The 22,271-nt window shown below is 42.1% G+C and overlaps 1 protein-coding gene, 1 long non-coding RNA gene and 2 pseudogenes across 6 annotated transcripts in view, besides 5 other annotated features; 2 read left to right on the plus strand and 2 right to left on the minus strand.

Annotated features, from left to right (window-relative positions):
* The window catches only part of ASAH1 (N-acylsphingosine amidohydrolase 1), a 28,970-nt gene extending 27,497 nt beyond the window's left edge, over positions 1-1,473 (minus strand). For 2 of the 4 annotated variants that reach the window (NM_004315.6, NM_001127505.3), the window contains exon 1: positions 1,188-1,473. In NM_004315.6, the coding sequence (NP_004306.3) occupies positions 1,188-1,313 (126 nt within the window). In that variant the 5' untranslated portion in view covers positions 1,314-1,473. Of the gene's footprint in view, positions 1-428; positions 620-1,187 lie in introns of those variants that run through there. The other 2 variants (NR_199644.1, NM_177924.5) reach the window with 2 other exon arrangements.
* Positions 76-185: an enhancer, noted in NCBI's record as "active region_27051". NCBI's record gives its function as "activates an Ori minimal core promoter by ATAC-STARR-seq in GM12878 lymphoblastoid cells {active_cell/tissue: GM12878}" and the evidence as "EXISTENCE:reporter gene assay evidence [ECO:0000049][PMID:35858748]".
* Positions 536-735: a silencer, noted in NCBI's record as "silent region_18966". NCBI's record gives its function as "represses an Ori minimal core promoter by ATAC-STARR-seq in GM12878 lymphoblastoid cells {active_cell/tissue: GM12878}" and the evidence as "EXISTENCE:reporter gene assay evidence [ECO:0000049][PMID:35858748]".
* Positions 986-1,265: an enhancer, noted in NCBI's record as "active region_27052". NCBI's record gives its function as "activates an Ori minimal core promoter by ATAC-STARR-seq in GM12878 lymphoblastoid cells {active_cell/tissue: GM12878}" and the evidence as "EXISTENCE:reporter gene assay evidence [ECO:0000049][PMID:35858748]".
* Positions 986-1,601: a biological region, named in NCBI's record as "H3K27ac hESC enhancer GRCh37_chr8:17942063-17942598".
* Positions 1,066-1,601: an enhancer, noted in NCBI's record as "H3K27ac hESC enhancer chr8:17942063-17942598 (GRCh37/hg19 assembly coordinates)". NCBI's record gives its function as "activates a minimal SCP1, AML or CMV promoter by ChIP-STARR-seq in naive H9 embryonic stem cells {active_cell/tissue: H9 hESC(naive)}" and the evidence as "EXISTENCE:reporter gene assay evidence [ECO:0000049][PMID:30033119]".
* Positions 1,380-14,163, plus strand: ASAH1-AS1 (ASAH1 antisense RNA 1). Of its 2 annotated transcripts, NR_125429.1 has the most exons (5): positions 1,380-1,451; positions 1,754-1,997; positions 3,395-3,448; positions 3,537-3,649; positions 12,338-14,163. It is a non-coding gene; the product is annotated as an ASAH1 antisense RNA 1 (long non-coding RNA). The 2 variants fall into 2 exon arrangements; NR_125430.1 differs by lacking the exons at positions 1,754-1,997; positions 12,338-14,163 and adding an exon at positions 4,512-4,723.
* Positions 3,394-4,148, plus strand: MRPS18CP3 (MRPS18C pseudogene 3; annotated as a pseudogene).
* Positions 5,404-6,402, minus strand: ABRAXAS1P2 (ABRAXAS1 pseudogene 2; annotated as a pseudogene).
* Positions 14,164-22,271: the final 8,108 nt, after the last annotated feature.

Consider the following 22,271-nt stretch of genomic DNA (forward strand, 5'->3'; position numbering starts at 1 on the left):
TGCTCTGGGCTGCTCGCACCGCCCAAGCTTGGGACCACTCAGCGTTTCCCACGGCCCTGCAGTATCCTGGGCTGAACTCCTGAACTTCTTCGGGAGAAAGCACCTGACCATCAGGCAGTCTGTCCTTGATTGAGTAATGCACACAGGTCCACCGGAACATTTTATTTAAACACTTCAAAATGCAAGGGCCTGGAACTGGTTATTCAAGTACACTCACTCAAATCTAAGAATGTGCGAATCACACCCAGGTATCCTGCAGAGACTAGGATTTCCTTTAAAGGAGTTCTAGTTGCAGGTAGCACCGAATCTACCGAGGACGGGGTTCGCCAGCCCGCTCTGCACCCACACCCCTGTGCACGAAACCACAGACCCCCGTAAAGAAGCTGCCCAGCACGAGGTGTTCCTTGTACCCGCTCGCGCCGCCACACCTGCGCCTCCATCCGCGCCCGCACCTGCACGCCCCTCTCTGCGCCTCGGCTCAAGCTCACTCACCGGCGGCGCGTGCTGCGCGACGGCACAGCTGACGGCGGCAGCCAGGAGGACTAAGGCGACGCAACTCCGGCCCGGCATCGCTCTAGCAGCCAACGCCACTCCCCGGACTCCAGCAGAGGCAAAGAAGAGCCGGCTGGGCCGGGGGCAGGCCACGCCCCCTCCGCCGCGTGACCCGCGACCTGGGACCGCACCATTCCAGGCAGTAGGGGGAACGCTCGGAGGAGGCGGGACTGGGAGGAGAGGACGGGGCTTTTCAGTGCCACGAAAAGGGTGGCGTAGAGAAAGAGAGAGAGCCTTCCAGGCTACCTGCAGAAGGAGAGTCGCGATCGCCTTTGGCGCGTGGCGTGATCCATCCCCCTCCCCCACCGCGGGCAATAGTCGGACCGAGCCGGAGCCCCGCCCCGTAGGTGGGGCCGGGAGCTTCACCCGTGGCGCCTCGATGGGGCGCCTCTAGCAGGCGGGTGCAGCCTGTCCCGCGTACCCAGGCGTCCTCGGTACCCACGAAACGGATCCAAAGAGTCTCAACACTAATGTAACATCCCACCCTGACCCATCTTTGCCCTCTGAGAAAAGCGGCCCGAAATGAGTTGAGTTATTCATCCCCACCGCGGAGTCAGGGACAAGGAGCAGTTGAGTGGCCGAGGAGTGAGAGAGAATCGAATCCACTCGGGTCCTCCAAGCTGTTGGTTACCCACTTGGGCTTTCACAGCAAAGCTGCCAAATCCCAGAATTGAGGCCTCGGTGAAAAGCGCGCTGAGACTTGGGTAGGAGGCCCGGTGGGACCCGCGAGCTTTCTCTCCCAGCCCGATGCAGCAGTTCATTAAGCGGCTGTGTTTCCTCCTAACTGGCGAAGGACTCAGGTGGGCGGAGCAGAGCTCAGCTTGGGAGGAGGCGGACGCGAGTAGCTCGGCAGGGGGACTCGCTTGGCTTTCGTGCCATCCGTGGACACAGTCGCGCGGGTAGGTGACCGGGTTGGATTTCAAAGTCCAGCAGGAAATCCTGCCCTCTGGGTTGCACTTCCTGGATGAGCCTCTGACGTCTCAAGCAGCATTGTTTTAATGCTTTGATGAAGCTCAGCACGCTGCCGAAATCTCGGCAGTATTTTTTCTTTTCTTTTTGCATGTGAGAGAAAGGACAACAAATTGCAGTTTTATCCATTTGTATTATTTCTTTAGAAAACTCAACACTCTTTTTGTTGGAGGTGGGGAAATGAGAAGGTGATGTTTTGTTTTGCTTTTTTTCCTATTTTTTTTTTTTAAAGGAGGAGAAGATGACAGTGTTCTCCCTAAGGATGAAGTTTGACTTTTGAAACATATCACATGCTTAAAGCACATTTGAGCTCCTGCATGAACAGTAAGCTAGCAGATGGTAGAAATATTCTTTATTAATTCAAAAAATATTTACTGCGGACCTACAATGTGCCAAGCATGTCTCCTGACACTGGGGATAAGCAGTGAACAACAACAAAAAGACAAACTTCTTCCACCCTGAGGCGTATGTTCTCGGTGAGAAATGGGCAATAAACATAATACCTAAGAAAATTATACGGGATGTTAGTGACAAATGCAGTGGAGGAAAAGGGAGGCCAGGGGCATCAAGTGTGGAGATCAGAAGTGGTAGAGTTACAATTTTAAATAAGAGGGACAGATAGACATGATTAAGGAGGTGAAGTTTGAGCAGACAGTTGAGGGAGACCAGGAAGCTAGTTTTGTGTGTGCCCAAGTAAGAGTATTCTAGGCAGAGACAGCAGCTGTTAAAAGGCTTTAAATGGAGAATGTGCCTGGCATGTTCAATTACAGCAGACGTGTGTGGGTCTGGCACAGAAAGAACAAGGGGAAAAGAAGAAAGAAGTATTAATAGACAAAGTATTTAGTTAAGGAGAGCAGGGCAAATTCTGTAAGGCATTCAGAGCCATTTCACTCCGGAAAAAAAATGTGTAATATTGAATATACGTGTTAAATGTTGAATCTATGGAATTACCTTGGAGCTTAAAATGAGTGTGCGAAGAAGAGGATTCCCATCTTTTAGTTGTTATTACTAAATCAAATAGCTACTTGATTGGAAGATCATTCATCTTCAGTACTCTTGAGAGCGATTTAAACATGTCACCAAGCATATTTTTTTCCCTACTGGAGGATGTTAATTGGTGATTAGGTAGTCTAGCAAAATCAGATTCTTTATGGAAAAAATTTGTCAATTGACATACTATTCTTAGGCACCACTTTCGCAGAACTATGCGTCTAACTTTCAAAGGTCTATTATATATTATTAATACTCTTTTCAGATAAAATATAAATCTAGTTCCCTAAAATTAAACCATTTCATGCATGTCTTTTTTTTCTTACACATATATCTTTATTTTGCCTACACCATTCTTTAATACTAGAAATGTACAGAAAGTCAAGGCAAGGTGTGTGTAGGAGACTTTGCAGTGGTTTTTGGCATACTGATCTGTTCATAGAAAATGGTATTTAAATGTGCAAATGCATGATTATGTCCACGGAAAGGGTGGTTCATACTGCACAAAAGCATCAAGTTTAAGACTTGGATAACCTGTTTCGTGTGCAAGAGTCGGGATATGTAATCAGATTGTTTATGGAATAGCTGAAGTTCTTGGCAAGCTGTGGACTTCCTCATCTCCTACCTAACATTCCTAGGTTCCTGAGGTGGAGCCTTGATTTAAAAGGGTTGCAACTTAGCCACCCCACCCTAAATGAAACCTATCATGTATAACATCACATTACCTGGAACAGGTTTGACTTGATTTAGTAAAACCGAATATACAAAAACGTGTACTAAAAGGTCAAGAGATAGAGAAATAATGTTTCAGTTTGAGAAATAAACATTTTTTTAACTTTAAATATTGACTTTTTTATGAATAAGGAAGCTTTTTATTTTACAGGTCTTTGTGGGAAGAAACAAATCACAAAAGCAATTAAGAGAGCTCAAACAATGGGTAAGAAAGAGCACCTCAACAACTGTATTGAGCTAGCTGAAATTTTGCTCATTATGCTTTGTCAAGAACTTTAATTATCTCTTTACAGGGTTTATGCCAGTTACATACAAGGATCCTGCATATTTCAGGGACCCTAAAGTTTATAACATCAGATATCCGGAATAAATTCCATCACATTACCACCAGTAAACTTATTTTATAGTAAGTGGTTGTATGACGCCAATACTGACTCAAACCAACCTTTGGATAGAAAAGTGTTTCAGGAGTGAGGTAAAGAATGACACTTCCCCTTCATACCAATCAGTGTTCATTAAGCAGATCGCTTATTTAAAATGTTAACACTCATCACATTTTACATATGTTGAATGAAAGTGGTTCTGGGTGATAGTCATTTATATCTGGTCCACAAATAGCTCATACAATGTAGTACACCATTCAACTGAATGGAGTTAAAACTGCTCAGAATGGTTTTCTAACTAGCAAATGTAAGTATGCCTGGTTAAGAGATCTTCCCTTTGTAGGAATGTTACACTGGGATGCATAGTGATGCTGTCACAGCAGGACAAAACATTCCTAGACAACTCTATCCTCAAACCAGTAGTGTCTTTTACATAAAAAGATGATTTACACCTAATAGACAGTGAATGTGATAGACATGTATGTATATATGTATCAGTTCTGAGTTCCACCAGCCTATCCCAAACACACTGGATTACCAGGCTTGTACTGTACTCAAAATTAAGGATTTGCTAAATTTCGTGCAAAGGACTCTAAACTAGGGGAGAGATTATTGTTTGTGTTGCGTTATAGTTGTGTAATAATTAAGGCTGCCAGATTTAGCAAGTACAAATGTAGGACAAATTTAAATTTTAGATCATGTTTTGCAAAGGTACTGCGTGAGATCCAGCATTTTATCTGGCAACACTAGCTGTAATGTACTTCTAAAAAATTATCACCTAAGGATAATTTTAATGACTCAGATAAATTTCATATAAATTTCTTTCCACATTGTGAAAATAAGGCTATTCTAGCTTTTCTAATACTTTTTTTTTTTTTTTAATAGAGATGGGTCTCACTGTGTTGCCCAGGCTGGTCTCTAACTCCTGGCCTCAATCATTCCTGCCTTGTCTTCCCTAAGTGCTGGGATTACAGCTGTGAGCCACTGTGCCTGGCCTCACTTTTCCAATTCTAAAGAATGTGTGTAAGCCTTTCCCTCAACAACTTATTGAAAGGCGAAAAAAGGTTTGGAAATAAAAGGATCTGATGTTTGAAAAAGTACTTTGTAAAATAAATGCACTAAGACTTATCTGTGGATTACTGCAAAGAGGTGAATATAGTAAAAACAAATGAACTTACCTGTATTACTGCAAGTAGCTCAACCTAGTAAAAACAATGGAAATGTTTGACTTTACCCATCAGCCAAATTAAAAAAATCTCCTTTTAAGGTTAAAAGGATCAAAATGTAGGTGACCGTGAATATTCACCAAAACCTTCATCTTTTCAATCTCTTCATCTGTTTCTGGGCTGCTCATTTTGGATGCTTTTTTATTGGTTACTACTATCAGTATCTGTTTTAGATGGTTTGTCTTGTGTGTCTAACAGCCGTGAACACTCTTTTTTTTTTTTTTTTTTCTCCTGAGTCGAAGTATTCCTCTGTAGCCCAGGCTGGAGTGCAGTGGCAGGATCTCAGCTCACTGCAAGCTCCGCCTTCTGGGTTCACACCATTCTCCTGCCTCAGCCTCCCAAGCAGCTGGGACTACAGGCACCTGCCACCACGCCGGGCTAATTTTTTGTATTTTAATAGAGACAGGGTTTCACCATGTTAGCCAGGATGGTCTCTGTCTCCTGACCTCCTGATCCGCCCACCTTGGCCTCCCAAAGTGCTGGGATTATAGTCGTGAGCCACCGCGCCCAGCCAATTTTTTTGTATTAGAGATGGGGTTTCACTGTGTTAGCCAGGATGGTCTCGATCTCCTGACCTCGTGATCCGTCCGCCGTCATCTCTTGAACTGCCATCTGTCAGCTAAGTCTAAGGTTTTATGCTTAACCATTTGTGGTGTACTAGCTGGACTAGCTTCAGGAATGTCAGTGTTTTCTACCATTAAGGTCAGATTGTCTACTACATCGAGATGGTGGTGGTTGTTAGAGCTACCTTTAGAAACATGTCTGTTTTTTTAAAGACATAACACATGCATGAAGAATTCAGAATCTGGAAAAAAGGTCCATAATGTTTGACAAAGAAAAATGTTCTCCTGAGGGTCTTTTTTGGATGCTCTTCTCTCGTTCTGCTGGAATCTGGGCTCATCTCCTTTTTTCAATTTCTCGTTTTAATCTGTTTACATCCTTTACTAGTTTATCTACTGCTTGTTCACTGTCTTCCACTTTTTTGCATATACTCTTTAATTTCTCTTACAATGAAGCATACATTTCATTTATCTTATGTACCTCCTTTAAGGATCCATCTTCTTCAAAAAATTTAGAGCTGTGTGTTTGTACTGCTCGGCTAAAACCAGTGGACATACAGGAACCTGATACAGTTTTATAACCTAGTTGTTCAGACATGCCCAGATTGGCAACCACTGAAGGTACCCTGTGAAAAAGTCCTTTTCGAGGTTTATATAAGGCATGTTCCAGTCGATGAGTAGAGCGGCTTTCTGTTATTATACTTGGTGTTCATAGCAGAAAAACCAGGTCTTGGTTTGAAAAATGCTCCTGCAAGTTTTTGTGAAGCAGCCTCTCTCTAAATGTCATGATCTGATCTGAATGACGATGGAATTTGTAACAACCTACCACATTTTTTGTGAATTTGATAATATTTTCCTCAGTGCCTGCTTATTTACTTCACCTGAAGAATTATAAAAACTAAAAAACTGATAGCATGGAATATATTTCTGAATGTCAATTGTATAAACAACTTCAGCATCATCTATTTGGGAATCAGTAATGCTATTCTTTTTTTTTTTTTTTTGAGATGGAGTCTAGCTCTGTCACCCAAGTTGGAGTGAGGTGGCCCGATCTTGGCTCACTGCAACCTCTGCCTCCCGGATTCAAGCAATTTTCCTGCCTCAGCCTCCCAAGTAGCTGGGATTACAGGCGCCCACCACCATGCCCAGCTAATTTTTTGTATTTTTAGTAGAGACGAGGTTTCACCATGTCAGCCAGGCTGGTCTCGAACTCCTGACCTCAGGTGATCCACCCGCCTCAGCCTCCCAAAGTGCTGGGGTTACAGGCGTGAGCCACCATGCTTGGCCTTGTCTTCTCCCTTCTAATATGAAAGAGGAAGCTAGGAATCCCCATTGCTGCTGGCATGCATGCTATAAACCTGAAGGGAGCCACCTAAGATGAAATTGATACTGTGGACTACACAGTAGAAAGATGGAAAGAAACTGGGTCATTGATGACATTGTCAAGATGCTAGATCAACCAACCACAGATCCTGTCCAACAACTGGACTCTTGATTTACATCAGCCACTACTCTGTTATTGAATCTTGGACAAGTTGGTTTGCTTACAAGTTAAATTATTGTATCTGAGAGCATCCTAACTGATACACACATGAAAATAGACATTTCTCCTTTGTTGAGAAGGATGTACAACAAATCTATGAACTTTAAGTTTTAGTACCTTCACTTGCTCATGCCCCTTCCCAACCTTTTACTAAATTTTATGCTTGTAATTTTGTATTCTTTTCCTTAAGGAGGACCACTTAAATTGCATAAGATTCAGGTGTCACCAAACCTGGATCTAGCATCAGATGTTGTTGGAAGAAAATGTCCACCTTTCTCTGCCGTCTCCTCCATTCATGTCTCCCTAGGGAAGGAGAGATGTATGATGTATCTAATCAGTAAATAGTTGAAAAGGTCACAGAACGTGCGTGGCCTGGCCTCTCTTCTGGCGCTTTCATTCAGATCTGCCTCCCCACAGTAGTAGATATGCCTGCCCACACTGGTAATTCTACTGCAGCAAGCCTTGAATGACAACAGTGGACGTGAAAGTAGTTGCTGCCTTTGACCACATCTTCCCAAAGTGGCACGTCACCAACAGACTTTAAAATCATGACGTTATAACGTAATGGCTGTGAAGATTTGGAAGAAAGCACTCTAAAATGAGAGCTCTGAGAGATGTAGAGAGAAGGCAGTCAAGGAATAGCGCCTATAAGCACCTCCTGCACATCCGGTCCCTGCGCCTCCATCCTCACCCTGCCCTCAGCTCACTCCCCTCCTGTTAGAAATTGGCTGTGCCCCTGAAAAGTCATTTGCATTTGCCTAAAGACTGAGTACACAAGCTCATTCCAAAGTAGAAGGTGTTGAAGTTCCATTTTGGCCTCAGGTCAAAATTGTTTTCTCTATTTCAGCTTAATGAGCAAGAAAGCAGAATCTAATATGTGTATATTTCTAACGCCTGTGTATATTTCTCAACTGTTTCCCAGCTCAGAAAGGTGAGGAGTATGACAGTCACCCTGAAATGACAACAGAAGCCAACAATAACAATTATAGTAATAATGTGTGTATAGAAAGTACTAAATGACCATTAAATGAAGAGCAGATTACTAGGTGCTATGGAAGATACACATGCAGTGAAATACAAATTCCAGATCTCAGGGAGTTTGCAACCGAAAAAGAATATAACACTAATATATATACAAGGGGACTTCAAAACGTTCACCTGCACCCTCCACCTCCCAGGTTCAAAGATGGAGTTAAAGGATAAAAAGTATAAACTTTATTTCTTTTTTTTTTTTTTTTTGTGAGATGGAGTCTCCCTCTGTCGCCCAGGCTGGAGTGCAGTGGTGCAATCTCGGCTCACTGCAAGCTCCCCCTCCCAGGTTCACGCCATTCTCCTGCCTCAGCCTCCTGTCATAAGCACCATCAAGGTCAAGACACTTTTGTCAGGGATGATACCAGCCATTTAGTCCATCCTTAAAAAAAAGAGGGTCCTGGGAATTTAACCATGTCAATGCAGTCTTTATTAACTGAAGAAAAATGGGTGCCCTTTACAGATTTTTTAAGATTAGGAAACAAAAAGAAGTCAGAAAGATTTCCTGTGGAAGCTCTTGCAAAATTGCCCTTGTTTGATGAGAGGAATGGGCAGGAGCATTGTCATGGTGAAGAAGGACTCTCTGGTGAATCTCCTGGGCATTTTTCTGATAAGGCTTTGGCTTTCTCAAAATACTCTAATAATAAGGAGATGTTGTCATTTTTTGGCCCTCCAGAAAATCAACAAGCGAAATGCCTTGAGCATCAAAAAGAAATGTTGCCATGATCTTTGCTCTTGACTGCTTTGTTTGTTTGTTTTTGGAGACAGAGTCTTGTTCTCTCACCCAGACTGGAGCGCAGTGGTGCAATCTCGGCTCACTGCACCTGCACCCTCCACCTCCCAGGTTCAAACAATTCTCCTGCCTCAGCCTCCCGAGTAGCTGAGATTACAGACATGCACCACCACTCCTGACTAATTTTGTATATTTATATTTATATTTTTATTTTATTGTTATTTCTTGGAGACAGAGTCTCGCTCTGTCACCCAGGTTGGAGTGCAGTGGTGCCATCTCGGCTCACTGCAACGTCTGCCTCCCAGGCTCAAGTGATTCTCATGCCTCAGCCTCCGGAGCAGCTGGGATTACAGGTGCATGCCGCTACGCCCGGCTAATTTTTGTATTTTTAGTAGAGACAGGCTCTCACCGTGTTGACCAGGAGGGTCTCAAACTCCTGACCTCAAACGATCCACCTGCCTCGGCCTCCCAAAGTGCTGAGATTACAGGTATGAGCCATGGCGCCTGGCTTTATTTTTGTATTTTTAGTAGAGATGAGGCTTCACCATGTTGGCCAGACTGGTCTCAAACTCCTGGCCTGAAGTGACCCACCTGCACTGGCCTCCCAAAGTGCTGGGATTACAGGTGTAAGCCACCGCGCCTGGCCTGGTCTGCTTTTGCTTTGACTGGACCATTTGCAATTCTTGGAAGCCATTGCTTTAATCGTGCCTTGTGTTCAGGATCCTACTGGTAAAGCCATCCTGTTACAGTTCTTCAAATAAATGCTTCAGCATCCTGATCTCACTTGTTTAAAATGTTCATTTAAAAGGTCTACTCTTGACTGCAGCTGATCTGGATGTAATGGTTTTGGCATTCATTGAGGGGAAGGTTTGCTCAACTATAATTTTTCACTTGTAATTGTGTAAGCTGAACAAGTTGAGATGTCTATGCTGTTGGCTGTTATTTGTGCTGTTGTTAGTCCTCTTCAATTAGGGCATGAAGATGATGAATTTTTTTCTCACAACTTGATGTAATGATCTGGCACTGTGGGTTTCATCTTCAATGTTGTCTCATCCTTTTTAAATTGACTTGTTTGTTTGTAAACTGCTGATTTCTTTGGGGCATTGTCCCCATAAACTTTTTGTAAAGCATTAGTGATTTCACTGTTCTTCTACCCAAGCTTTACCATAAACTTGATATTCTTGCTTCAATTTTACAGAATTTGTGTTGCTTATATAGGGGCTTTTTTCTGACTGACGATTTATCCTTCCTATTACCTCCAGCTAGATCCTTTGAGACATACTACAGTAACATAGTATGAGTTTATTTTGGTGCAAACAAATTTTGAAATCATACGTAGTTATTTTATAGCATGCATTTTCCATGGACTTTTTGAAGTCCCCTTATATATATAGACTTATAAAGGCAGCTTTAACTGAAGCATATTTTACACATGTTCTATTTGGTTGAAGATATGAAATTACCATTTTTGTAGATAAAATGTATTTGAATATTAACACTTTCATATAGCCAACCTAATTGTTACCAACACCCGAAACATTCACAATTACTTGACTTGGAAACTTCAACATTCCAGAACATTCACAATTACTTAACTTGGAAACTTCAAATTCCAGAACATTCACAGTTACTTGACTTGGAAACTCCAACATTCCAGAACATTCAGAATTACTTGGCTTGGAAACTTCAACATTCCAGAGCATTCACAATTACTTGACTTAGAAATTTCAACATTCCAGAACATTCACAGTTACTTGACTTGCCATCACACTGTAGTTATCTGTAGACCTCTGGGGTCCCCTGCTTCTCCTCACTCTTTGAAGGTTTTGACACCTGACTCACTGTCACTCTTTTAAACCTGACTCTTGGCAACATTCTTGGTGATTTCAACATCCACAAAGACAATCTTTCCAATATTCTGGTTTCCTGACTTCTGAAAATGTTCTTGGATGCCATTTTACCTCAAATACCCAGTTCCATGGTCATATCTTAGACATTGGAATATTTACATCATTTTGCTTCTGGGGTACCATTCTCTTGATTCTTCCATTACTCACTGGCCACATTTTGAATAGCATCTGTTGGTTTCTCCTCATCAACTGATCTCTATATGTAGGAGTACCCTAGGGCCTGGTCATCAGACGTTGTTTCTTATTTATCTATGCTTACCACTTAATGTGACCTCATTCACTCTCATGACTTTAGTTCCATCTGAATATTGATGACAGCTATGGTTTAAATGTGTCCCTCCAAAATTCAGGTGTTGTCAGTGTGCTGGTAGTAAGAGGTGCCTTCTTTAAAAGGTGATAACCTCATGAGGGTTCCTCCCTAGTGAATGGAATTAAGGCCTTTATCAAAAAGGCCTCGCGGCCGGGCACGGTGGCTCACGCCTGTAATCCCAGCACTTTGGGAGGCCGAGGCAGGCAGATCGCAAGGTCAGGAGTTGGAGACCAGCCTGCCCAATATGGTGAAACCCTGTCTCTAAAATTACAAACATTTTGTCTCTAAAAATACAAAAATTAGCTGGGCATGGTGGCACACACCTGTAGTCCCAGCTACTCGGGAGGCTGGGGCTGGAGAATCGCTTGAACCTGGGAGGCGGGAGTTGTAGTGAGCCAAGATCATGCCACTGCACTCCAGCCTGCTAACAGAGCAAGATTCCATCTCAAAAAAAAAAAAAAAAGAACAAGGCTTCGCAGCCATGATTCTCAGCAAACTAACACAGGAAGAGAAAACCAAACACTGTATGTTCTCACTCATAAGTGGGAGCTGAACAATGAGAAAACATGGACACAGGGAGGGGAACAACACACACTGGGGCCTGTCAGGGTAGGGTGAGGGGAGGGAGAGCATTAGGATGAATAGGTAATGCATGTGAGGCTTAATACCTAGGTGATGGGTTGATAGGTGCCGCAAACCACTATGGCACATGTTTACCTATGTAACCTCATTCTGCATGTGTATCCTGGAACTTAAAGTAAAATTAAAAAAAGAGAAAACATAAATGGCTAATTAACAAATAAAATTGTGTTTCACCTCTAAAAATAAAAATAAAACATAAAAAGTCTTCACCAAACAGTTGGCATCTTTTGCTCTTCTTCCTTCTACCAGAGGAGAACACAGTAAGAAGGCTGCACCAGAGGCTGTGGTCTTGATCTTGGACTTAACCTCCAAAACTGAGAAAATAAATATCTGTTCTTTATAAATCACCCAATCTCAGGTACTGTTATAGCAGCACAAATGGACTAAGACAGTGACTCCCAAATTTATGTCACTAGCTCAGACCTGTCCCCTGAATTTAGATTCTTATATGTAGTTGCTTCTCAGCCTCATCTACTTTGGATACCTAATAGGCATCTTAATATGTCATGTCTAAAAAGGAACTTATGTTTTCTCCGTCCCAATATACACTGTCCCTTTCCCAAATCTTCCCCATCTCAGTAAATGGCAATCCCATCTTTCTAGTTTGCTTAGGCCAAAGAATCTTACAGTCAATTTGATTTTTCTCTTTCTTACCACAAACTCAATGCACCAGCAAATCCTATTAGCTTTACGTTCAAAATATACGATACCCCGAATCTGACCACTTCTCACCACTTTCCACTTCTGCTTTCTTCCAGGTTACTCTCATCTGGATTATTGTAGTCACCTTGTCACTGGTATCTCTGCTTTCTCCTAACCCCCATCTAATCTCCAAAAAATCAGAGCATGTCACTCCTGGCCCCCAAATCCCCCCAGTGACTCCGCCCTCCCCACCCTGCTCAGAATTAAAGTCAATGATCTTTTTTTTTTTTTTTTTTGAGATGGATTCTTGTGCTGTCACCCAGGCTGGAGTGCAGTAAGTAGTGTGATCTCAGCTCACTGCAGCCTCCGCCTCCCAGATTCAAGCGATTCTCCTGCCTTAGCCTCCTGAGTAGTTGGGATTACAGGTGCGCACAATGCCTGGCTAATTTTTATATTGTTAATAGAGTTGGGGTTTCACCATGTTGGCCAAGCTGGTCTTGAACTCCTGACCTCAGGTGATCCACCCACCTTGGCCTCGCAAAGTACTGGGATTACAGGCATGAGCCACCATGCCCAGCCTAAAGTCAATTATCTCACCACAGACCACAAGGCTACTTTGATCCAACCAGCCCATCTTATATACTACCACTTTCCTGTTTTCTCACAGTGCTCCAATCACACTGGCCTTCTTTCTGGACTTCAAACATGCCAAATATACTCTCCTTGAGGGACATAGCACTTACTGCTACCTTTGTTTGGAATGTTCTTTCCCAGATACCCATGTGGCACACCCAAATGCTTGAGTGGCCCCTTATTAGTGAGGCCTTCCTATAGCATTATATATAAGATGGATATAAGGTAGGACTCAGAACATACTCCCTATCCTCCTTACTCTACTTCACCTGACTCCAAACACTGTCACCACCTGACGTAGTACATATTTTATTTTTTATTTGTTTAGCATCTGTCTGCCTCTAACTAGAATGCAAGCTCCATGAGGACAGAGATTTTTGTTTTGTTTACCGCCATATTGTCAGCAGCTAGAGCAATGTCTGGCATGTAGTAGCACTCAATGAATATTAATTGAATAAATGAGCTACCTAAAAAATAACTGCATTGATATCATAACCCAAGTAGTGTCTGAAATAATGTAATGAATTACCAGAATGCAAATGAATTATTTTCCAGATGTCTTTAAGTTGGGTGTTGGAAAGTCAATATGCATTTTTCCTACAAATATAAAGTAAGTGCTGTTATTATCCCCATCTTATGGATAAGACATCTGATATTTAGCTTATGCAACTATGCCTGTTTTCTGATTTTGAGGCATGTACCTCACCACTTATACTAAATTTCCAGGTCAGATCATAAAACCTTACGTAAGCCATAAAATTCAGATATAAAGTAGTCTAAAAAAAGGAAGGACCAGAATGGAAGATACCTATCTTACACACAAACAGCTGTATCTAGAGTATAGGCTTCTTAGCTTTCTAGATGTTTCACCCAGTTATAGCTGTTCTTTGATAGTGATACAGTGATAGAGGCAGGAGGCAGAGAAATTCTAGGCAGATGGGAAGATCCCTGGCAAAGCACCACCCTAAAGCTGAAAAGCTTGAAACCACTGCCTAAAGTGAGAACTTATATTCCCGTTTTCCTGCTTGAATGTTGTCTTTTCCTAAACTACCCATAGCCTGCCCCACCCTATCTTGTGCCTATAAAGACCCCAGACTCAGCCAGCAGAGGGGAGAAACAGCTGGACATCAGAGAGAAGCAGCCGGACTTCAGAGGGACAGCTTGATGACATAACTTTGGAGAAGAATGCAGCCAGAGATGGGTGGACTCCAGGGAAAGATTACCTGCCGCCCCACCCTCTTTTCAGCTCCCCTTCCTGCTGAGAGCCACTTTCATCGGCAATAAAATACACTGCATTTGCTATCCTTCGATTTGTTTGTATGACCTTATTTCTCCTGGACGCCGGTCAAGAGCTCAGGAACCATCAGTGCGATACAAAAGGCTGTCACACTGGCCCTTTGCCCTCACCGGAGGAGGGCAGCCACCTCATGCAAAAGAGCAGAAGGCTCACTGAGCTTTTAACACTCAAGCTGTCCACGGGTGGAAGAGCTGAAAGAGCACTGTAACACACCCTCTGGGACTTCAGGAGTTGCAGGCACCCTGCAGGGATGTTGCTGTGGGGTCTGTATGGAGTTTGCTCCTGCTGGTGCCCCAGAGTGCTTGCTCTAGCTCCTGTACCTACTCACCTGTGTGTTCCCTCCTGTGGGGTGGAACACAGTGGGTCCAAGTGAGTGGAGTTTGATCCCGCTGGTGCCAAAGTAGCTGGCTGGTTCCAGTGCTTGTGCACTCCAGTTCCTGCCTTGTTTGCTGGTGCGCTGCCTCCCATGAGGAGTTGAGAATGGCAGGCAGAGTAAATGAGGCGCCCCTGTCGTGAGTCCTGCAAAGGGGTCAGGGAAATATTCTCCTCTGGTAGGTTTTTCTGTTTTCATCAACTTATCTGCTTTCTTCCTCTCCTCTCCTCTGCAGCTTAGGTTCCATGGGCCACCATTTTAACCACTTACTTGCCAATATATTAAACTTTCTCCCTTTTTGTTCTTTCATTGCCCATTCTGTAAAACCCCAACCCTGGATGAATACAACTATCTATATCCTCTATATACGTACACCTGGACTATTGACTTCTACTCAGCAGACTTGATGTCATTATAAATTTATGGCAGACAATCTACTGGGCCCTCAATACTATGCAGCAAATCTGTGATTCTCAGGCATGTTATCTCTCTTAACTCTTTGAAATCTTCTCAAAACTTTGTCTATTATTTCTTCTGTTGCTCTTAGATTACCATGTCTTCTTCTTCATGGAGAAAATGTTAATTTCAGAAGGGAATTGCCTCAATTTTCTGCCATCAAGTCTGCATATGGTCTACATCTATCTCTATACTTTTCTACTTCTCTTCTGCTACAATGGAGAGGTTGCCCCTTCTGTTTTAGCCCAATCTCTTCTTCCTTTTATGGAACACCATGCCATAAATTAAGACTTCTCTCTCTTGCATCTTCAGCCTCTTCTTTTCTATTGGCTTCTTGATATTAACATTTACATATACTCAAGTCTCTCCTATGTTAAGAAAAAGTCTTCCTTGGATCCTGTTACTAACCTCACTCTCCCTCATTCATAGCCAAAGTTCTCAAAAGAAAACTACACTGGAAATTCCCAAATACTGATCCATGGACTATAAGACCACTGGGAGATATTTTTAGGTGTCTGTGGCAAAATAAGAAACAAATAAGCTAATGTAGTCCATGTTTACTCATATAGCAAGTTACAGATATGAGTCAGATTAAGGTTACTGTTTTCTCCCGAAGAGTGTTCATTATTCTTTTATATCCTTCTTATTTTTCTGAAATTGAATGCTTTTTAATAAAATAATGGCACTAGTAGGTAGAATTAAAAAAATTCTGCTTGGCAAAATAAAAACTTACCCTGTCTATATAATACAAAAATATTTTGCATTTATTACTGTTGCTTTAAGTTTAAAAGTGTTGAATTGACTTTATTATATTTATTTCCTCACCTCTAACTCACCCACCAATACTTCTCCATCTGGATATTGCACCAACAACCTCTGCCAAAAATGCTCTTGCTGAGGTACCCAGTGAGCTCTGTAAGGCAAAAGATAATTTTCATTTTGTTAGATCCTTCAGTACATTGGATAAAATTGACAACTTCCTCTTCCTTAAAAAGCCTCCCTTTTATGGCTTCCATTATGCCCCAGCTACTGGTTTTCTGCAACCTTCCTTGACTTCATTTCCACAGTCTTTCATCACCTCCTCCTCTACTACATCACACTAGTGTTGGAAATCCTTGGTCTCTGTCCTATCTAACTTGTATTAGTCTACATTGTCTCCCAGAGTGATTTCATTCCCTCCCAAGGCTTCTGTGTCCAGATTCTGTGTCTGATTTATGTGGCATTTGATAGGTGACTTGAGACAAGTCAGAAACTGAGTTCATCAGTTTTCCCTCCTTTCAAATCTGCTCATCCTCCATCTCAGTAGATAACATTACCATCTACTTTCATGCTCAAGCCTGAAATTTAGAAGTTGCCTTGACTTCCTTCTTTCCTTTATCACCTACATTTAATTCTAATCATTAAGACAGTTAATTGTTTTAAACAACTCTCAAATCTCTCATCTTCTTTCCACCCTCCCTGCCGGCATCCTAGTCTAGCCTACCATCATTTCTTTCCTCTACCACTGCAGTAAATTCCTACGTGGACTCTCTCACTGTTCAAAACGTCCTCTAAACTGCAACCAGAATGATCTTCTAGAAATGCAAATCTGATAATATCACTTCCCTGCTTAATGCCTTTTAATGATATCCCCTTACTCTTATGGGCTTCTCAACCTGGCTCCAAAGGCTCTGCTCAGAAGCCAGATTAGGTCTGACTTCCTCTCTGGCTTTTGTTTTTTTTAATCACTCTTCATCATTCATTCCCTTCCAGCCAAAAAGCAGTTCCTCCAAGACACCCTGCTGTCTCCTATCTCAATGTTCCTGCTCACAGGATTCCAATGCATGGAATATTTTCTCCTATGTGAGTCTTCACACTTATAACTCCTACTCATCCCTCAGAGTTGAGCTTAACTCCTGTCCTCCTTAGGGAAGCCTTCCCTGGCCTACATCTCTTCAAACCAAGTTTTTCACCCTATTAATCAATTCTCAAATATCCTGTAATTTTCCTTTTCAGTACTTCGCACACTTATAATTATTTGATTGATCATTTATGAATTGTTTAATATCTGACTTCCTTAATAACCTGTAAACTCTATCAAGACAGAGATCATGTCTATGTCATTTATCACCACATTCGCAATATCTAGCACAATGCCTGACATCGCTTAGGTGCATAATAAACATGTTGATGATTGATTTATTGACTATTTTTAGAACTGAGAAACTAACCTGTCTAAATAACAGTGCTTTGTGGAAACATGCATTCACGTTCTAACAAGACTTTTCTTTTCTTTACTCAACCACACTTCTTTCATTTTTTTCTTTCTCTCTCTTGCTCTCTTTATATACATAGAAATGGTACTCTCACTCTCCGGCCTATATTTAAAAAGTCTCTAATGTGATGGGCGTTGGAAAAAGTGTGGGTTCTGGAATAAGGGTTAGGTCAAAGACCTAAGGGTGAGATACCTTGGGGATTAGGTTTTTATCTCAGACTATGTCTGAGTTAGGTTTTCTCTCTATTCTCCAGGCTCTAAAGTTTCTGGATTTTTGTTTTTGCTCTAGTAAAGATACAGGAAGCACAGCTAAGCCAACCACAACCCTTTACTGTCTTTTACCAGAATCATGTAGGAAAGATAAAATCTACTCTTGGATACCAACATTGAGTCCATAACTTAAATGCAAAAGTCCAAAAAAGTGGAATCTACAACTTGTGGAATATTCAGATAATCAACCAAAGTGATGACTCCCACTTACTACCACAAACAATGGATGAGAGTTCCCATTGTTTCCTATTCTTGCCAACTCTGGTTTTAACTGACTTTTAAATTTTTACCAGTTTGGTGACTGCAAATGCTGTCTCATTGAAGCTTTATTTTGCAGTTCCCTAGTTATTAAAGTATTGGGTATTGAAGTTGGCTCTTGACACTAGTAACTTGAAAAGTCTATGATATTTACTACACAGAAATAAGCAAATACTACAAGCCAGGGCTTTCCTCACATTGGAGGACTGGTTGTTAAATATTACCAGTCCACAGCTGTTGATAAGGCTGAATATTTACTTATATCTTTATGGGCTTTCATGTTTTGTCTTGTTAAAACACCTGTTTCTATTGGCCTATTTATTTAAATTAAGCTCTTTTTTTCTTTGTAACTCATGCAGAGTTGCTCTTCATGTATCATAAATACTAACCCTTTACTAGTTAAATGTATTGCCAATATCTTCTCCCAGAATGCAGCTTGTATTTTCAATGCCTCCTCATGTCATTTAAAAAATAATCCTTAAAAAGTTATTTTGGACATGTGAAAATCTTTACATTATTAATGTATATAACTTGGTGAGTTCAGAGATTAGCATATATCCATGGCACAATCACTATAATCTATGCCATAAGCCTATCTGTCACCTCCAAAAGTTTCCTCCTGACCTCTTATTTAGTAGTATTATTTTTGTGATGACTTCATATAAGATCTACCGTTTTAGCAAAATTTTAAGCATACAATATAGTATTGTTTCTATGGGCACTATGCTGTACAGGAGATCTCTAGGACTTATTTATCTTGTATGGACAACATTTTGTACCTGTATTAGTCCATTTTCATGCTGCTAATAAAGAAATACCTTTATTGTCTCCAAATAAAGGAAAGAGGTTTATTTGACTCACAGTTCCACATGCCTGGGGAGGCCTCAGAATCACGGCAGAAGGCAAAGAGGAGCAAGTCATATCCTACATGGTGGCAAGCAAGAGAGTGTGTGCAGGGGAACTCCTCTTTATAAAACCATCAGATCTCGTGAGACTTATTCACTATCACGAGAATAGCATGGAAAAGACCTGTCCCTATGATTCAGTTACCTCCCACTGGGGCCCTCATATGACATGTGGGAATTATGGGAGCTATAATTCAAGATGAGATTTGTGTGCGGACACAGCCAAACCGTATCAGTACCCTTTGACTAACACCTTTCCATTTCCCCTTCTCCCAGCCTTTGGCAACCACCATTCTACTCACCTTCTATAAATCGGATTGTTTTAGATTCATCATATAAATGTGATATGGTTTGGATGTCCTGCCCAAATCTCATGTTGAATTGTAATCCCCAGTGCTGGAGGTGGGACCTGTGGGAAGTGTTTAGATCATGGGGCCAGATCCCTCACGGCATGGTGCTTTTTGTGATAGTGAGTTCTCATGATATCTGGTCATGTAAAACTGTGTTGCACACCCTCCCCCCTTTCTTTCCCTCTCGCTATTGCTTTCACTATATGAGATCCCTACTCCCCCTTTGCCTTCTGCCATTATTGTAAGCCTCATAAGGCCTCCCCAGAAGCTGCTGCAGGTGCTATGCTTCCTCTACAGCCTGCAGAACCATGAGCCAACTAAACCTCTTTTCTTATAAATTACCTAGTCTCAGGCATTTCCTTATAGCAACGCAAAAATGGCCTAATACATAAAATTGGTATCAAGGAGTGAGGCATTGATATAAAGATACCATACCTGAAATTCTGGAAGCGACTTTGGAATTGGGTAATAAGCAGAGGTTGGAAGAGTTCGGAGGGTTCAGAAAAAGACAGGAAGATGAGGGAAAGTTTACAACTTCTTATAGACTGGTTAAATGGTTGTGACCAAAATGCTCGATAGTGATAAGGACAGTAAAGTCCATGCTGATGAGGTCTCAGATGGAAATAAGGAATTTATTGGGAACTGGAGCAAAGGTCATGCATGTTGTGCCTTAGCAAAGAACTTGGCTGTATTCTGTTCATGCCCTAGGGATCTGTGGAATTTTGAACTAAAGGATGATGATTTAGGATATCTGGGGGAAGAAATTTCTAAGCAACAAAGTATTCAAAATGTGGTCTGGCTGCTTCTTACAGCCTATGCTCAGATGCAGGAGCATAGAAATGATTTAAAGTTGGAATTTAAATTTTAAAAGGGAAGCACAGTGTAGAAGTTTGGAAAATTTGCAGCCTGGACATGTGGCACAGAAAGAAAAAGCTTTTTCTCAGGAGAGAAATTCAAGCAGGCTGTGAAGTAACCGCTTGCTAGAGAAATTTACCAAGAGAAAGGGAGCCAAGTGCTAATAGCCAAGATAATGCAGAAAAGGCCTTGAAGGCATTTCAGAGACTTTCATGGCAGTCCCTCCCATCACAGGCCTAGAAACCAAGGAGCAAAGAATGGTTTCATAGGCCAGGCCCAGGGTCCCACTTCCCTGCTCAGTCTGAAGACACTGTTCCCCACATTCCCACTGTTCTGGCTCCAGCCTTGGTTCAAAGGAGCCCAAATATAGCTCAGGCCATAGCTCCAGGGGGTGCAAGCTCTAAGCCTTGGCAGCTTCCACATAGTATTAAACTTGTAGGTGCACAGAATGCAATAATAAAAGAGATATGGCAGCCTCTGCCTAGATTTCAAAGGATGTATGGAAAAGCCTGGGCGCCCAGGCAGAAGTCTGCTGCAGGGGCAGAGCCCTCACAGAGAGCTTTCTACTAGGGCAGTGCCAAGGGGAAACATGAGGCTGAAGCCTCCACAGAGTGTCCAGTGGGGCACTACCTAGTGGAGCTCTTAGAAAGGGGTTACTGTCCTCTAGACCCCAGAGCGGTAGAGCCACTGGAAGCTTATACCCTGCACCTGGAAAATCCACAGGTACTCAACAAACCATGAGAGCAGCTGTGGAGGCTGAACCCTGCAAACCACAGGGGCAGAGCTTCCCAAGGCCTTAGGAGTCCACCCCTTTCATCGGTGTGCCCTAGATGTGGGATATGGAGTCAAAATAGATTATTGTGGAGCTTTAAGATTTATTGACTCTCCTGCTGGGTATAGAACTTGCATGGGGCCTGTACTCCCTTTCTTTTGACTAGTTTCTCCTTTTTGGAATGGAAATGTTGACCCAGTGCCGATATTTCCATTGTATCTTGGAAGTAAATAACTTGTCTTTGATTTTACAGTCTCATAGGTAAAATGGACTTGCTTTGTCTCAGATGAGACTTTGGACTTTTGAGTTAATGCTGAAATGAGTTAAGACTTTGGGGGACTATTGGGATGGCATGATTCTATTTTGCAATGAATGTGAGAAGGACATTTGGGAGGGGCCAGGGAAGAAATAATATAGTTTGGATGCCCTGCCCACATCTCATGTTGAATTGTAATCTCCATTGCTGGAGGTGGGACCTGGTGGGAGGTGCTTAGATCACAGGTTGGATCCCTCATGGCTTGGTGCTGTCTTCATGACACTGTGTTCTTGTGAGATATGGTCATTTAACAGTGTGTGGTACTTCCCCCAACTTTCTCTCCTTTTTGCTCCTGCTTTCACCATATGAGATGCCTGCTCTCCCTTTCCTTCTGCCATGACTGTAAGCTTCCTGAGGCCTCCCTAGAAGCCAAGCAGATGCCCGCACCATGCTTCCTGTATAGCCCATAGAACTGTGAGTCAATTAAACTTCTTTTCTTATGAATTACCCAGTCTCGGGCATTTCTTTATAGCCATGCAAAAACAGCCTAATACAAATGACATTATGTAGCATTTGTCCCCCTGCATCTGGCTTATTTCACTTAGCATGTCTTCAAGGTTCATCCATAGTGTAGAAAATATGCAGGATTGCATCATTTTTTAAGGCTGAATAATATTCCATTATGTTAAATCCATTCATTTGTCATTCATTTGAACATTTAGGTCATTGTCATATCTTGGCTATTGTGAAAAATGCTGCAATGAACATGGGAGTGAAGATATCTCTTTGAGATTTTGATATCAATTCCTTTAGTTATATGACCAGAAATGGGATTGCTGGATCATATGTAGTTCCATTTTTTGTTTTTTTTTTAAAGAACTTCCTCACTATTTTTCACAGTGGCTGAATCAATAATATATTTACACCAATAGTGTGCTAGGATTCCCTTTTCTCCACAACCTCATCACTTATTATCTTTTAAAAATTTTTTTATGTATTTTTTGAGACAGGATCTTGCTCTGTCATCCAGGCTGGAGTGCAGTGGTGTGATCATGGCTCACTGTAGCCTTGACTTCCTGGGCTCAATTGATCCTCCTACTTCAGCCTCCCAAGTAGCTGGGACTACAGGTGCATGCCAACACACCTACCTGATTTTTGTATTTTTTTGTAGAGCTCGGGTTTTGCCATGTTGCCCAGGCTGGTCTCAAACTCCTGGGCTAAGTGGTCCACCTGCCTCAGCTTCCCAAAGTGCTGGGATTATAGGCATGAGCCACTGTACCCAGCCATCTTTTTATTTTTTATTGATTAAAGTCATCCTAATAGGTTCAAGGTGATATCTCATTGTGATTTTATTTTATTATATTATTTTTA

The sequence above is a fragment of the Homo sapiens genome, chromosome 8, assembly GCF_000001405.40.
Source record: "Homo sapiens chromosome 8, GRCh38.p14 Primary Assembly".
Classification (NCBI taxonomy): Eukaryota; Metazoa; Chordata; class Mammalia; order Primates; family Hominidae; genus Homo; species Homo sapiens.